Genomic DNA, 14,762 nt, shown 5'->3' with positions numbered 1-14,762 from the left:
GGCATGGAGGGAAACCCTCTACATGGTCCCTGCGACTGAATTTCCATACCACGGGCACAGGCCAACAGAGGTTTCAGACTTGGAATGAACTAAGCTTTCTGCTGTCTTTGAAAGAGACAATGTTTCTTCCATGTAATCAGAATAATAAGTAAGTTAATTTTCCACATGCTTTTTTCCCAAGGGCCTCCTTAAGCCCTCATCCTGTGGCAAGAGAAATCTCTCACTGCTGTGTAATTTTAGGGTGGTAGGAAACATTTACCAAGCAAGTACCTAGCACACGCCAGGCATCTGACAGTCATCTCTCCACAACAATTTTATGAGGCATGTATTGTTCTCAATTTATAGATGAGAAACTGAGACTTAAAGAAGTAACTTGCCCCATGTTACACAGATATTAAGGTGCAGAATTCATTATTCAGAGTCGAGGCTGATGCCAAAGGACATGGTCTATTATATCAGGATGCAAGGGTTTTGTATCACATTGCCTATAAACAGGGCAATGTGTTTGAAGAGGAAGAAGGCTAAGAGCTAAGTCCCTGCCTAAGAGGAGCCTAACACTTGGAATGATGGGCTAGTTTAACTTTTAAGCAAGAATAATTGGTTCATGAACCATGAAGATAAGTCTTCACATGAACACTGAATCCACACGATACTCCCACTGCCTTCCAAGTCGAATTCTTTCTAAGAAGGCTGTAGCAAGCTGAAGCATCCGCTGCCTGGTGTGTGTGTGCAAGTGCGAGCACGTGCACATGCATGCACACTTTATAATAATGTATATGCGGTATTTATGCATTTAATATATGAAAGAGAATTAGGGGAAAAAAGCAATATTTCTTTGAAGGGCAGCCAGCCTAACTACACAGACATCAATGTTAGCAGAAACAAGCCAAATGATTCAGTTAGTAAGATTTGTCTATTTTTCTAGCAGAAAATGTTTCTTTTAAAATATTCTCTAACATCTGACTCAGTTTTGTTCAAGAGCTAAAAGCTAGACATCCATCAAGTCCAGGCACTATGATCAGAAGGTGAAGATGAGTAAAGTAAGGAGTCTCAACTCCCCAGAGATTTACGGTTCATAACAGAGAATCAAGTTGCAGATAACTGCAATGAAGTCAAAATGAGAGGAGTTCTACAAGAACTTTCCTATCTAAAATACCTAAATATCTAAATACAGTGCAATCTGGGGAGAGGAGTGGTGCATTCCATATGTGGGCAAAAGCAGGAAGATTTCACAAAGGAGATGGCAATTAAGAAGGACTTAGGCCAGGCGCGATGACTCATGCTGTAATCCCAGCACTTTGGGAGGCCGAGGCAGGCAGATCACTTGAGGCCAGGAGTTCGAGACCAGCCTGGCGAACATGGCAAGACTCTGTCTGTACTAAAAATAAAAATTAGCCGGGCATCTGTAGTCCCAGCTACTAGGGAGGCTGAGGCAGGAGAATCACTTGAACCTGGGAGGCAGAGGTTGCCATGAGCCAAGATCATGCCACTGGACTCTAGCCTGGGAGACAGAGACCCTGTCTCTAAATAAATAAATAAAATCTAGAAGGGGCCTCCTAAATTCTTTATTATTATCACCCAAAACACCATATATAGCCTCACTTAATTTCCAAATAAACTGATGGTGGATGGATGATGAACGATGGATGGATGGAGTGATACGTATGTCAGTCAGGAGAACTGCTTTAAAGAAGAAATGCTGTGGTTCGTCAACAGAATCAATATATAGCATTGTCCCATTTATCCAAAATTAAGCTAATCTGTAAACTTCTGAAAGTCCTTTGAGGTAGATATGAATAAATGTCAATAAATGTCAAAATTTCACAATTCAATGATGATGATGATGCAAGTAATCTGAGATCCAAATTGAATTATGCCTTCAAACCTTAAATTTACAGTGCCTTAGAAGAGAGATTACACTATGTAAAACAGAATATCCACAGCCCTATCCATTTAACCAGTCCTTTTCCTTTCTTATTGATCTCCTTCCTCAGGCCTATGCAAAGATGAGAAACCTGAACCCTTGAATCAGAAAGGGAGTCACAATACCACTAAAAGTAAACACCATTCACACAGCAAAGAGCCATGGTGAAGCAATGCTACCTTACCCAAAACTGTGAAGTGCCAAAGTAAGTATCAGCACAGAAATTTGTCCCGAATTGCTAAAATGACTGTTTACTCAGGCAGAATGGGATGAGGGCGAACGACAGGGAGAGAAACAGAACAACGCGGGATGGGTGTGTGTTGGGGCGCGGGGGTTGTGCTTGGCAACAACAGTATGCTTATCTCTTTCTGCTGCATTAGCAGAGTTTGTTAGCAGGTGAATGGATGGATGTGTGAGCTACTGTCAGCTCTGTGTATAACTAAAATCAAACTGTATAACCGAGAAGGCAGAATGTCAGAAATAGCCATGAAAGAGATACCTGAGAAACTGTCCAATTGTTAATCCAATATTTTCCCTTCAGACACGAATTCAAAATCTGAAGAAGAAACTATGAATCATCATAAGTAAAATATGCCATAAATCTGGAATTTGTTTGGTACGATTAGAGGCTTCTTTTTCAAAAGAAAACCTGAGGGTTAAAAGATGAGTGGGGAACTCAGGGTTTCCTGGATTAGTCTTTATTAAACTTAAGAGTACATTGGAAGCGTTACTACTGATCAAGAATAAAGTACCTCACCCTACTGTCCGGAAATCAACCACACCAGTTTGGCAGGCCTACTCTCTCACATTAATGTTTTCCATTAGGTTCAAGTGGCTCTCAAGATTATTTTTTAATTCCTATAACCTTTCTGATAAAGCACCTGGGGGGTAAATCAGCATTTTTTAAAAAGTTACATAATACAGACTCAATAATTTTACACCGCGTATGCCTACACCAAACCTCTTACTATCATAAATTAGCGCTAGAGACATGACTATTTGCAACAGGGTCATTAGTCATATGACTACCTTTGTACATAAAGACTGCAGGGTTATTTTATTTATTTATTTATTTTGAGACGGAGTCTCGCTCTGTCTCCCAGGCTGGAGTGCAGTGGCACGATCTCGGCTCACTGCAAGCTCTGCGTCCCGGGTTCACACCATTCTTCTGCCTCAGCCTCCTGAGTAGCTGGGACTACAGGCACCCGCCACCATGCCCCGCTAATTTTTTTGTATTCTTGTAGAGATGGGGTTTCATTGCATTAGCCAGGATGGTCTCGACCTCCTGACCTCGTAATCCGCCCGCCTAGGCCTCCCAAAATGCTGGGATTACACCTTACACCGTGCCTGGCCAACTGCAGGGTTATTAACAATGTCTACAATTACACTGCAAAGACATGGGGATGAGAAACTGTATCCAATTTGATATAATAACCACAATCTAACTTTCTGCATAAAAACAGAAGCTGCAGTAGGAAGAACAATAGCAGGATTTTCAGTTAGTTCCATGGTGTTTTTCCTTTGATTAAATTTCCTGGTAACAAGAAAGGAAAATAAAAATCCCAATCTTTTTTTAAAAAGGGAAGTTCTGAAAATTTTACTGAACTTATGAAGGCAGCTACTCTAGAGGATTTAGAGAGGGGAAGGAGAGAGAGAAACTATTGGAAGAAACACAGCCCAAACTTTAATTCCGTATTTTAAATTAGGAATTAATTTCTGAACTTCTCACACTATCAAGTCCACTTACAAGACAAATATAAATTATGGGGTGGGAGAAGTCTGCTCCCAGCTGAGTAAACTGTAGGGATCCTCATCAAGTATGCTGGCAATTAGCTGTCAAGTAGAAAATATTAGGTTTGAACTCCAGCTCCACTGCAACAGATTTGGTTATCCTGAGAAAGTCATTCAACCTTGAAGCCTGTTTTCCTTGTACACAAAATGAGAACACCATCAACCTTACGGATTGTTAAAAACATTAGAGCTGTGCACAAAGTATCTGGCATAAAATGGGCAACTAAAACTGGTAGTTTTTATTATTAGCTATTAAAATGCTTCTGTTTAGGAAACTCAAGGAAAACAGATCCCTAATACTCTACAAAGAGCTTCTCCAGCATGGCCCAACAAAGCTTGCCATTGGCACTATAGAACTAAAAAAATTAAGTGAGGAGGGAAAGAATAAACAAAAACACAAGGAGCACCTAGGTGAGAAACAAAAACTTAACTACTGATGACCCTCTTAAAATCACCTAATCTGCACCTTTTTTATGCTGGCAGGTCAGGAGGTGTGTGTGTGCGAGGTTGGGAGAGCTCTCCTGCAGGCTCCTTCTCACTATATGGAGCACCGCACCCATGGAAACGAAATATTGCTACTGATAAACAAAACTGCTGAAGCACAGCCCAAGAATTACTTCATTTCCTATTAAGCTAAAAGTGGAATGCATCCCATCTGGGCCCTCTCTTTTGAGGATGAAACAATAGGAACTTTGTTTCATCAGCTATCCAAAAAGAAACCCTAAAAGTGTTTGCTGGGCCAGCCAAGCCCAGTCCCACACAGATGTCACCTTCTAAGAGAAAAAATGATGGAAAATATAAAAATAATATCTTTATTACTTCAGTTTCGCATCAAAGTCTCTAAAAATCTGGTGTCTTTTTCTTCCTTATGAAGTGTCTATGATAGGGTTAAAGGAAACAAATTTTCAGTCTTCAGATTCAGACTCTAATAGGAAATAGGATTATGTGCAGAAGTATACACCCACTGCTGGGTTTTGGGGACCTAATAGTAGTGTGCAAATTTGGTATATGTGTAAAATGTCTCTATGTGTACAGGAGTATTTAATCAGAAGAGAACAAAGAGTAGGCACAGGAATTTCACCATGAGCATTTTAGAGGAGGAAGGAGAGATTTAATGCTAAAAATGTGCTCCGCTATATTCCAGCCCACACCTCTAAGGCAGTGTTTCTCAGCCTTTTCTTCCATTATCATATCCCAAAGAGCCTTTTCAGACATTATTCTCTACTCACTCCTCACTTCATGAAACTTTAATACCACAGATATACCACAAATTTGTGTAACTGTGTTTTATATATCACTGTAAGTTTTTTTTGGTCCCAAAAGGCAATTTTCACCCCCTTGGGAGGATATCACTCCCTTAATATTGTATGCCCTAGGATTCCAGTGCTGTGTTCATGGTTCCAAAGTTATGAAATATATAATTTCCTCCTAACATTACAACAGGGCCGGGTGCGGTGGCTCACGCTTGTAATCCCAGCACTGTGGGAGGCCAAGGCGGGCGGATCACGAGGTCAGGAGATCAAGACCATCCTGGCTAACACGGTGAAACCCCGTCTCTACTAAAAAACACAAAAACTTAGCCGGGCGTGGTGGCGGGCGCCTGTAGTCCCAGCTACTCGGGAACTCGGGAGGCTGAGGCAGGAGAATGGCCTGAACCCAGGAGGCGGAGCTTGCAGTGAGCAGAGATCGCGCCACTGCACTCCAGCCTGGGCGACAGAGCGAGACACCCTCTCAAAAAAAAAAAAAAAAAATTACAACTAAGGACAGTAGACAACAGATTTTTTTCCTCTTCAACTAGTTCTCACTCTGTTTTTCCAGTATAACCACTATATGTACTAACTAGCATTAGGACAGTAATTTAAGTTTTCTAGAATATAAAATCTCATCTGTCTAGAGATAGCTTGAGAGTATTTCAGAATAGGGAGACTGTTAGAAAAAGTCCAATAAAAATAACTGATTACCTTGACAGGCGTTGCCAGGGGCAGGGCCAGGCTGGGGGATGGGGGGTGTCAGAATTCTCTAATGAAGCCCATTAAATTAAAAGTCTACAACTTCTTTTCAAATATGCTATTCCATTTGGTAATACTGGACACCTGCTGCTAGAAAGTAATTCTTGGTTGACGAGAAATGAAAGAGGCCAGGTATGGTGGGTCACGCCTGTAATCCCAACACTTTGCTAGGTGGAGGCAGAAGGATCACTTAGACCAGAAGTTTGAGACCAGCTTGGGCAACACAGGGAGACACCATCTACACACACACACACGTGCCAGCCACTTATGATGGACACACACACGTGCCACTTACGATGGTGAGTGCTACTTGGGAGGCTGAGGTATAAGAATAACTTCAGCCTGGGAAGTCAAGCCTGCAATGATCTGTGATTGTGCCACTGCACTTCAGCCTGGACAAAAGAGTGAGACTCTGTCTCAAAACAAAACAAAAAAAAAGAGAGAAAGAAAAAGAAAGACATAACATATTATAACTCAGACCATTTGTTGCAATCTGGGCTGCAATTTTTTTCTTTAAACCCAAAAGAACTTCTGATCAGGTAAATGTATTATTCTTTTTTAATGACAAATCTACTTTATAAAGTACCCTCCCTTATCAGTGAAAAAGAAAAGGAAAATATAACAGAGCTGAGTCAAATTTGGAGTCAATAAAGGTTTGTAGTTCTTCAAACAAGAACTCTTGCTGTGAATTCTAAAAATAAATAACAGACATGCTGAAAATAGATTTCATTTTATGAAAGATTCTGCACCAAAGCCTTTTACAAAAATAGTATACAAAACCCACTAAACATCCTGTTCCATCTTCCACTATGAAATCACTGCTTGGTCTAAATTCACAGTTTCATTAATAAAAATGAACACAATAAAACAGTACTCTATGCCCCCATCCCACCCCAACAATTATCTTCAAAGGATGTCCAGATTTTGTACACTATTTGCCAATCCTACATAGGTCTTAAAAAAACAAATCTCAGCTTTAGAGGAAAATCACTAGTTAATTAAAATGTCATTTAGGGTTGTATTTGTTTTCTATGAAGGGACAATAATGGAATATTTTACTTTCATTTATTACTAAGGCAAGATCTTTCATTACTAGAAGTATACTTCCATCTCAAGCTATGTTTCAAGGCAAATTATATTCTTGAACTAGCCACTTTCATAGGTGTTTTAAATGTAATATTTTATTATAACGCTTTGGTTAGCCTCCAGTGTTAATCAGCACAAAGATGGATTTATTTTCAAAAGACAGGACATTCTTTTCAGCCTTCAGAATGTTTTCATCAAAAATTACTATGTATCATAAAAATAACATGCTCACTGTAAACATTTAAACAATTCAGGCTGGGCACGGTGGCTCACAACTGTAATCCCAGCACTTTGGGAGGCCAAGGCAGGTGGATCACGAGGTCAGGAGATCGAGACCATCCTGGCTAACACGGTGAAACCCTGTCTCTACTAAAAATACAAAAAAATTAGCCAGGTGTGGTGGTGGGCACCTGTAGTCCCAGCTACTCGGAGGCTGAGGCAGGAGGATGGCGTGAACCCAAGAGGCGGAGCTTGCAGTGAGCCGAGATCGCGCCACTGCACTCCAGCCTGGACCACAGAGCGAGACTCCATCTCAAAAAAAAAAAAAAAAAATTTAAAGATAGATAAAATAGAAAGTCAAAGTCTCCACGTACCTGCCCTCTAAGATGTTACTACTTACGCTTAAAATACTTTATTTTTAAAAAGGAGGGGAAATCACATCATAACTACTTTAAAAGGCCTTTACAACTTCTTTGTAATTACACACAGACACACACACACACACACACACACACAGGGGAATGGGGAAAGAGGGGGCAGGAGGGAGGGACAGACAGACAGACACACACACACTTCATTGTAGGACTTATTACAAAACACGCAAAAAAAAGAGAGAAAACTGAGATGGGTGGGGAGATGGGCCTGCAATTTCAATATCCGAAGTCAAAACAATTTATTAGGAGATAATTTAGAATGTCTGTGTGTCAACTCTATTTAGGGAAATATTGATTTGATAAAAGGTTACAGACTAACATCAAAAAGTGCTGCCTTTTGAAGGTTAATCAATCCTTTGGTTTTAGGAAAAACTAAAATGTTACAAAACACACAGTGAAACATACAGAGAACTCAAAGAAAAATCAGAGCCAGCAATCTGGATGAAACATGAAAAATAAAAAAATAATAATAAAAGCAAGAAGAGGCTGGGCACGGTGGCTCACGTCTGTAATCCCAGCACTTTGGGAGGCCGAGGTGGGCAGATCACGAGGTCAGGAGTTCAAGACCAGCCTGGCCAACATGGTGAAACCCCATCTCTACTAAAAATACAAAATTTAGCCAAGTGTGGTGGTACGCCTGTAATCCCAGCTGCTCAGGAGGCTGAGGCAGGAGAACTGCTTGAACCCAGGAGATGGAGGTTGCAGTGAGCCAAGATCGTGCCATTGCATTCCAGCCTGGGCAACAGAGCAAGACTCCTTCTTGGGGTGGGGGGTGGGGGACAAGAACAAGACACAAAGCTCTTTTTCTTCTCTTAGCCAAAATGACTAGAAATTGCAGAGCTAGTCCCACACGTAAGCACAAAGAGTGCAGAGACATCCCTGCAGGCAGTAGCTGCTGCAACAAACAGACCATGCACATTTATCCAGGAACTGGGATGCACAGTGCACTGCATGGACTTTCCACGAAGACTGGACTTTCCATGCAGATTCTTGACTAATCTAACACTGCCCTCAGCAAACAGGAAATCTGAGGCTATCAATGCAGCTAACTGGTACACAAAAATCATCGTATTCCTTCTCCAAGCTAAAAATGCAACTCAAGAAGCCAGAGACTCTTTTGAATTTATTAAAAAACAAAAAAAGGGGGGCGGGGAGGGGGGTTACGTGTGAGTGCGAGTGTGGGTGTATTCACATACATACACATCTTTCTAGAAGAGCAGCTTCTGGGAAGCTGGATGTGTGAAATGTTGTTCTATCAAGTGACAGTTTCCTAGAACAGCCTTCTTAGCAGATACCAGTGAAGAAACCAAACAAAGATCCTTGTCCTCATAAAGCTGACACTTTAGTTGGGGCAGATAGAAAATAAATAAGATAAATAAGTAAAATATATGTGAGAAGTTGAAAAGTGCAATGGAGAAACATAAAGCAGGAAAGGGGGATAGGGAATGTGGAGAGGAGGCAGCTGTGTATTTTTATGAGCTGGACCGAAAGGCCTCACTGAGGAGGTGATACTGAGTAAGGGCCTGAAGGAAGGGAACACACAAGTCTAAGTCCACAAAGGCAGATTTAAAGAAGTTTAGGTCCAGGCTAAAGAATTTACCCCATGTTATAAACAAGAAATGCAAAACAAGTTAACCCCCAAAATGCCTCTATCTCTACCCCTCCACAATAAATTACCAAACTAAGCCAAATGACAGTAGCTGAAAAAGACAAGTAATCAGAAAAATCTCATATGTGATAAGCAGAGCAATAGGGTCCGGTCAGGAATCTCCTTTGCTTAGTTAACAGAGTTTCTACTATACCAACTAAGGATCTCACTGGTACCCTTGCACACATATCAAAGGCTCACACGTTAAAGTGTTGCCTTACTCTGCATTTGGCCTTCCAGAAGTAAAAAAAGGTCTTTCAAGGACTCTAATCCTTCTGTTACCTCTGCTGTGATGAGGCACCTCATATCAGCTGCCTGACTAAATTCAGGTGGGAAGCAGAACATTCAGGCCAATGGGATGGGGGCGACGGGGGGAGGGGGTGTGGGTGGGGGTGGGGGGGGTGGCTGGTATCTGACCTCATAAGCATGATGGAAAAATACTGAAATGTGGCTAAGAGGAGAGATGATTAGCAGAAAACAGAAGAAAAGCCAGGTACTAGGTAGGACTACAGGGCCAAAGCAAAGGGGTCAGGAATGATTTCTGAGGATTCGGACCAAATTAGAGGAAAGGAGCAGAGTCTAATACCCATTCTGCTTGGCTTGGGTAGGCAGGGCAAGGGTACTTACATAGACATATATAAAGTGGTACTAGAATCAAAGTCAAGGGAAGAAATGTGAACTAGAGCTCAGAAAGGGAGGCTGAGGACAATGTACAAGGATCTGGTACAAACTTAGAGCTCCAGGCTGTCATACAAGTTCAGTGACTCTGAGAAAGTAATTGCCTGCTGCCCATCCTAATTTAAGGACCTTACCAGTAAAGGCATAAGGGCTTCCAGGTACATCCCTCTCCACCAATAGAACAGACTTTGTTGGGATTTGTGACTGAGGATCACAGTTAGGACACAGGCCATGCTTTTTGTATTTGCCTTTTCCCTTATATCTGCTTGCAGTCTCCTTGTATCTACTTATATGCCCTTTCTAGATATATATGCACACACAGGTATATAAACACACAGCCCTCGAACTTTAACCCTAAAGTGTTCCTATTATAGGAAGTATTATGTTTATAAAAATTACCTCAATTCCTTTCCTAATGAGAACTGAGTCACGGACTGATCGATTATACCTAGGTTAAGAAGCTGTTTCTCCCCATCACCAACACATAATAAATGTTCAGCAATGGTGATACTGGATGGTACCTGCTAGAGAGCAGACCTCAAGTTCCAGAAAAGCCTTTCTGATATGATATACATCACAGGAAACAAGATGACTGGAGCTGTGGGTTACAAGGAAGGATATCTAATACTCTTCAGAAAAGAAATCGGTATCTATGCTGACTACCTTCTTTTATTCCCTGTCCATAAAAATTTGGCAATAATATACCTAGAGACTCTCTAGAATCTTTAAATCCTTGAATTTTCAACATCATTTTTGCCAAGTAGGAGGATAAATACAGCTTTCAACTGTCATAATCCCAGTTCTTAAATAAGTTATAATTTACAGAATTTGGTAGGTGGCCGACATAACAGTAATATACATAAAATGGCACAGCAATAAAAAACTGGCAATCTGTTCCAATACCAGCAGGACCAGATATTCAAACTGCTTTATAAACTAATAAATTTTTTTATACTGTCTACACTTCACTCTTCCTGTCACTCTATACTCATAAACATCGAATAAAAGGGTTTAAGAACTAGGAAAAGCTAGTAAGGATCCCATTCAAATACTTACCAGGAGCAATGGTCTCCAATGTATCAGAACTGACCTTCCGAGTACTTGTACAGTGACGGAGGGTGGAACCCAAAAATACCAAGTAAAACACTACATCATCTTCAGCTTTGTCCTCTTCAGCAAGCAGCACTGTAACAACACAATCACCCTAGGAAAGGAAACAATATAGCAAGTTTACATTAGTAAGGTTCCTCTTCGCAGCCTATCTTTATCAAACATCATATTTAAGGGAAAATCAAATTTATCATCTAAACCATGCCCCCATTCTGGTAAGCTGAAACAAGTATAAAGATTGAGCACTTATACACCAGGCAATCATCTAGGCATTCACAATACAGAATGAACCTGAAAATAAGATCGCTCTCTCTTCTTTAAACTTACATTTTAGTGGAGGTCATTAGACAAGTAAGTTAATCAACAAGATGAAGGAAAACTTTACTTGATGAATGGGTTAAAAAGGGGAGGGGCAGGGGGAGACATAGAAGAAAATCCAAAAATAAGGCAGAGAGGATGGAGGGGGTATAATAAATGATCACATCCTTATACTCAGAATGCTCCTTAACTCCTGTGTTCCAGTTGACAATAATTCTCTAAATTCTATATCCCATAAATCATTACCAAGTCCATACATTCTCCAGCAACAGGCTTGCCTGGAAAGGGTAGAGTGCAAAGAAGACGAGCTTGGGCTCCAGCTTAAGTGCACAGCAGGCTACAACATCCAAGTTTGTGTTAAGTATATGCTATGATGTTTGCACAACAAACAAAATCACCTAATACCACATTTCTCAGAACGTATCCCCATAGTTTAAACAACACATGACTGTATAGGAAAGCTCCTGGAACATGTTCAACTCTCGGTCTATAATATTTTTAACCTATTTCAATAGGAGGCTGCTTTTCTAATAATTTGTATTTCCTGACCATCTGACATTCCTACTCTTCTTTATCCACCCCTACATTAATCCCATAAAATCAGACAAAAATCTTGAGCCAATAACTTTGTCTATGACTTTGCAACTACTAGAAGGTAAGACATCTTTGTCTTTCAGTTGCTTTTTTTTTTTTTTTTTTTTTTTTGAGACGGAGTTTCCCTCTTGTTGCCCAGGCTGGAGTGCAGTGGCGTGATCTCAGCTCACTGCAACCTCCAACTCCTAGGTTCAAGCGATCCTCATGTCTCAGCCTCCTGAGTAGCTGGGATTACAGGCACCCACCACCACGCCCAGCTAAATTTTTTTGTATTTTTAGTAGAGACAAGGTTTCGCCGTGTTGGCCAGGTTGGTCTCGAATCCTGACCTCAGATGATCCACCCGTCTCAGCCTCCCAAAGTGCTAGGATTACAGGAGTAAGCCACCGTACCCAGCCGCAAATACTCTTTAGTAGTTTTTATATATTGATTTTTTTTTTAAATCAAGGCCAGTGGCTAAATATATTCTATGAAATACAGTCCTAATTATTAGCATTCTCCCAATTACGAACTATATAATTCCTGTTGTAACCATAACAAAAGATTACAAAGCATCAAGGTTTAAAGCACTGAGATTTAATACTATATAAATCTTAATAATGCACTATAGAAAAATCAATCTAGAGAAGGCTGGGCCATTTTAGCATCATAATTAGGGGAGTAAATTCTCATTATGTACAGAATATTTTTCCTTTCGATTTTAGCAACAATTAAAGCCAACAAGAGAAACATACCACCCTGTGGTCACAATTTACTAAGCCCAGCAGCATAACTGAGCAGAAGGTAGTTTTTTACTAAACACTAAAAAGCAAAAATCATCAAGTCAAACCTAGGAACCAGGTCTATTAACAAACAATGCTCCAGTGGGTCCATGACTACTACGACTACCACAGTGGAGCATTCAACAGTATCCTAATCCAAGGAATATCACGGCTGGTAAAACAGAATTATCACTGACTTCAGTTACTACTCAGAATTAGACTTCTGTCTTGTTTATAAGACTCTCTCTTGGAAACATTTTTGAAAAGCTTAGCCTGGTAAAATGTGTAATCTTCTTTGGCATGATGCAACCAGTTAAAAAGATGTTTTTGCAGCGTGTATGAGAAGAGTCCATTTCTCAAGGTACTGAAATATCCTCACAGCCTGAAAAAAGTACAAATAAAAAGTTCCATCCTTTGCAGCACAGGTTGACAAACTATGACTAGGTTGACAAACTATGACCCACAAGTCAATTCCAGCCTCCCACCATCCCCTGTTTTACATTTTGTGGGGGCGGGTGTGGGGGTTAGGGTTAGGGAAGAAAGAAGGCCTTTTAATCCTTTTAATGTGAAAATTACATGAAATTCAAATTTCACTGTCAATAAATAAAGGTTTAATTGAACCCAACCCATTCATTTACCCATCATCCATGGCTAGTTTTGCACTACAATGGGCCATAAAAGGTAATGATTACGTGAGAACTTAGCCCACAGCCTAAATTATTTACTATCTGGACTTTTACAGGAAAAAAAAAAAATTCACTTTGATTTCTAACCTGGTATTCTAAGAATATATCTTCCTTTTCCAGATCAAGAATTTTGTCCTCATATGAGACCCAACATCTTGCTGGGAGACTCTCTGTGCCCCAAGATACTAGTGAAGTCTGGGCCTTCCTTTGGGGACAGAGGAGGTGGCTAATTATAGGCAGATGAAATCCTTTTAGCAATGCTTTCAATATGAACCTCTTTTTACAAGTAAGTTTTAAATTGCTTTCATACCTTTAATTGGGTTTTTGTTGTTGTTTGAGACAGGTTCTCACTTAGTTTCCCAGGCTGGAGTGCAGTGGCACAATCAGGGCTCACCACAGCCTGCAGTTCCAGGACTCAAGTGATCCTCCCCCTGCTGCCTCCCAAGTAGCTGGGACAACAGGCATGCGCCACCACTTCTGGCTTTTTAAATTTTTGTAGAGATCAGGTATCCCTATGTTGCCCAGGATGGTCTCAAACTCCTGAACTCAAGCAATCCTCCAGCCTTGGCCTGCCAAAAATGTTGAGATTACAGGCATGAGCCACTGCACCTGGTCTGTAGTTTTTTTGTTGTTTTGTTTGTTTGTTTGTTTTTAATATTAAGTCACACTACCTTATGCCCAAAATATTCAAGAGAAGAGAACACAGAAGCTCCATTCATTTCAAAGCCTCTTGAAATTTAGATTCCGAAGGCACCTGGAATTAAAATTACCTGTTTTCCTTGAAGGAGTATTCTCTGCACACTGATAAAGTCACTGACAGCAAATAACAAACTGCATTTCAGCCACTAACTCCCATTTTACTCCAGTAGAACCAGGTACCTACTATTACTTGAGATGGCTTTTAAAGATTAAATGAGTAGAATGGTGATGAAAAAATAACAAGGAAAAACAGATCTAGGTAACAATTTTTGTCATGATGCTTTAATCCTACCATCCTTAAAGAATACCCTGGTATTAATAAATTATTCTGCTGTGCCTGGGAAAGACCAGCCTACAAGAATAAATAGACACATCAGTCTGGCTACACAGTGAACAAGTCTGCCATGTTTCTAAATAAAATAAAATAGATCAACTTATTAACAAGGGCAATATTCAAGACATTCTCAATTATCATTTTAGTTTGACCCAACCTCAGGAAGAGTACACACCTACATCACCACCCTCTTCCAATAATCTGAACTTAAGAAACAGCGTGATCCCCTTACACAGATATTTTCCATGTTTCTTCATTAGTGAGAAATGTATCCCTGCAACTGACAATTTTTTCAGGGTCCTAATTAGTTTTGCTGACAGATGACACAAAAACTAATGGAAAAGACCTCTATACTAGGCCTTATTCTGTAAATATAGGTTAGCTCCCCCCACCCCCATATAAATAAACTGTGTTCTAAAATATCACCTATCAAATCACTTATTTGCAAATAAAAACAGGTTTTTATAAAACAG

General features: G+C 40.3%; 1 protein-coding gene across 2 annotated transcripts in view; it reads right to left on the bottom strand.

The window, feature by feature from the left end:
* The window catches only part of AKAP13 (A-kinase anchoring protein 13), a 368,756-nt gene that overhangs the window by 216,938 nt on the left and 137,056 nt on the right, over positions 1–14,762 (bottom strand). For both annotated transcript variants that reach the window (NM_007200.5, NM_006738.6), the window contains exon 3: positions 10,846–10,993. In NM_007200.5, coding sequence (NP_009131.2) covers positions 10,846–10,993 — 148 coding nt within the window. The remainder of the gene's footprint in view (positions 1–10,845; positions 10,994–14,762) is intronic.

Source organism: Homo sapiens, chromosome 15 (genome assembly GCF_000001405.40).
Source record: "Homo sapiens chromosome 15, GRCh38.p14 Primary Assembly".
Lineage (NCBI taxonomy): Eukaryota > Metazoa > Chordata > Mammalia > Primates > Hominidae > Homo > Homo sapiens.
This window is presented reverse-complemented; position numbering and strand designations above follow the sequence as displayed.